The sequence below is a fragment of the Homo sapiens genome, chromosome 1 (genome assembly GCF_000001405.40).
Source record: "Homo sapiens chromosome 1, GRCh38.p14 Primary Assembly".
Lineage (NCBI taxonomy): Eukaryota > Metazoa > Chordata > Mammalia > Primates > Hominidae > Homo > Homo sapiens.
In genome coordinates this window covers 119,293,123-119,295,746 of record NC_000001.11, presented here as the reverse complement: position 1 = coordinate 119,295,746, position 2,624 = coordinate 119,293,123, and the positions used below count along the sequence as shown (strand labels likewise).

Here is a 2,624-nt window from a genome sequence, read left to right as displayed (position 1 = left end):
GGGGAACCTGATGCCCACTGAGTGGTGTTAAGAACTACTCCCCCATTTTGCAGACAAGGTGACTTCAGTCACAGGAGAGATGGGTCCAGGGCTTTGCCTGAGCCTTCAATCTGCCCTGGGAAATGAACAGCCTTAACTCAGATGAAAGTCTCGGTTTTTCCATTAAAAGCACTTTCCCATAGCAAATTCTGAATGCAGCCTGAAATCAAGATGTGCTATGAAATTTATTCCTCTGGGGCATACGTGCAGCTTAAACCGCTTGTTTTACAAACAGGAGAAAATTTATGGTTAAAAATTTACTCTGGGGAGAGGTTAATTAGAGTTTCTACTCTGGTTCTTGAAATACCACTAGCAAATCTCATGCTATTACCCAGAGCTCATCTTACTTGGCCAGAGGATAACCCAGGGCTTGAAATCAGCTGAGGTTCAGTTTTAGAGAAAGCAGGAGCTCTCTCCAAAACTTGCCCTCTTCATACCTGCTTGAAGCTCCAAAATTTGACATGAGGAAGGAATATGATTTCAGAATGCAGAATATGGACTGTTCTGGCAGAAAAGTAAGCTTGAAGAGAGGCCTCATAATACAAAGCAGTAAAGATCAAGAAAAGACACTCCAACTTCTTTACCTGTATAATTTCCTAGTGGGTCTGAAGGGGTGCTGAGACCTCTGATATTTTCAGCAAAGTGAGCCTTCTTATAGCCTGGTTCTTAAAGCAGCATGGTCGTCCTGACCTCTAGGAAGCTTAATATCAGGTCTAATGAAATACAACACGTGGCTGACATCAGAGCCTGTCTCAGACCACACATCAAAGGGAAGGAAGTAGATGCTTTGATCCTCTCAGTCATTGCTCTCTACAGAAAGCTTTAACAAAAGAAGGAGGGAACTGGATGGGGGTGGGGGTGGGAATCAGGGACTGGTTTTTCCTTCTGCTGGTAATGTTATTCTTCAAGTTTTGGAGAACAGGCAGGAGGGTGGGTGTAGGGAGTGATTTTCCTGTTGTAATTTCCATGGGCTGAGGTGTCTATCTTCCCCCAAATCCCTGCCCTGCCTGTACAATGATTCCTGAATTCTAGGGTTTAGTTTGCTTAGCTTGAGTTTTTACTTTTATTAGAATATAAACCCCTCCTAGGACAGGCAATAACAAATGCCATATTATCCCACTCTTCAGTAAAAGTATCATGTTAGAATGCATTTCAGATTTTGTCATTATACCAGCTAAAAGTATCTTGGCTCCTGGTGAGCACAGGGTGCAGTCTGCATGTGTTCCTGGGAGGGCTCGCCTTCCCACTAGGACCTCGACCCTGCCTAGCCTCTGGTCCCCATGTCTGCCCCTCCCTGCATGAACATTAATCTCCAGCAATTGCCCTGAGCTGTCCTGTGGCTTTTCATCCCTATTCATGCAGTTGCTTGCTCCTGCCTTAAGATATGCTGTCCTCTGGGGTGGAACACCAGCCAAAGGTCAAATGTTATCCTGGTTCCTTACAAAGATTAGGCCATGAAAACATTTATCATATAAATAAAAAAAGATAAATTGCACCATGGCGTATCTGTTTTTTGTTTGTTTGTTTTTCTATTCTGCAGGTTTTCAATGAAAGGAAGAGTGTGAGGCATTAAGAAGCCTGAGGAAGAGAGGAGAGAGGGGCTAGGGGCTCCCGCCTGGGAACAGGGAACTGCAAGAGGGCCTGTTCAGTGCTTTGGCCTAACTCGAAGTGGTGCCGCTAAGGTAGGGGTAGGAATCTGACTCAGAGCTGATGAGCACAGGGACAAGCCTGGCACACTTGGTTGGGGTGGGGAGGAGGGACAGAGGAAGCAAGAGCCAGAGGAGGGGGTTAGGCAGAGGAGGCAGAGCAAAGCTTAGGAAACCCTGGCTAGCAAGGCAGAAAGGAACAGGAAGGTTGCTGCCCCAGGTGCAGTGGAGTCAAAGGCCAAAGAACCCCAAAATAGTTGCCTATGAACTTTTTAGCGTCCATCATGTTGAGTCTGTTTTCCCTCGGCAGTTAAAACAAGTCTTAGTAAAATGTGAGGGAGTAATTGCTAAAGCCCAGATGAACCTGAGGAGGTGGTAGGTTAAATTGTGGTTGGAGGTGTGTGATGGGAGACTGAAGTGAGATACAGGGGTACAGAGAAAAATGGCCGGTGCCCAAATGGCCTTCCCCTTCTCTCCCCTGGGGCTGCGGAGGTCCACGGAAGGAAGAGCTCTCTCCCCCAGCGCCCCTCCTTTCCACCTGATAGGGCTGAGGCCAAGGTTTTCTCTAGGACCTTGACTTTGACATCTGCCCTGGGGGAAGATGACAGGGTGGTGACTGGCCAGGAGTGAAAGCACTGAGATAGGGACATGGGGACAACGTGGCATCATTCTCTGCTTCTTTTCCTGCAGCATGTGCTATTTTCACTATTCTCCTCATGCTGGTGGCACCTATGCTCCCTACCTACAAACTGAGAGTGGTAGCCACCTGTCACCCTGAATGGAAGTCATGGGTAAGAATGTGGCAGAGAGCAAGCACTTTGTAATCCATTAGCTTTGCTTCTTTGATATGCCTTGTGACGGCGGACATTACCTGTGTTAGTCAGAGTAATGTCCTAGAGGGACCCTGACTAGAGGGACAGAACTAATAGGATATATATA

The 2,624-nt window shown here is 47.0% G+C and overlaps 3 annotated features.

Moving 5' to 3' along the window:
• Window positions 594-1,173: an enhancer, noted in NCBI's record as "OCT4-NANOG-H3K27ac hESC enhancer chr1:119837197-119837776 (GRCh37/hg19 assembly coordinates)". NCBI's record gives its function as "activates a minimal SCP1, AML or CMV promoter by ChIP-STARR-seq in naive H9 embryonic stem cells {active_cell/tissue: H9 hESC(naive)}" and the evidence as "EXISTENCE:reporter gene assay evidence [ECO:0000049][PMID:30033119]".
• Window positions 1,174-1,753: an enhancer, noted in NCBI's record as "NANOG-H3K27ac hESC enhancer chr1:119836617-119837196 (GRCh37/hg19 assembly coordinates)". NCBI's record gives its function as "activates a minimal SCP1, AML or CMV promoter by ChIP-STARR-seq in naive H9 embryonic stem cells {active_cell/tissue: H9 hESC(naive)}" and the evidence as "EXISTENCE:reporter gene assay evidence [ECO:0000049][PMID:30033119]".
• Window positions 1,754-2,333: an enhancer, noted in NCBI's record as "H3K27ac hESC enhancer chr1:119836037-119836616 (GRCh37/hg19 assembly coordinates)". NCBI's record gives its function as "activates a minimal SCP1, AML or CMV promoter by ChIP-STARR-seq in naive H9 embryonic stem cells {active_cell/tissue: H9 hESC(naive)}" and the evidence as "EXISTENCE:reporter gene assay evidence [ECO:0000049][PMID:30033119]".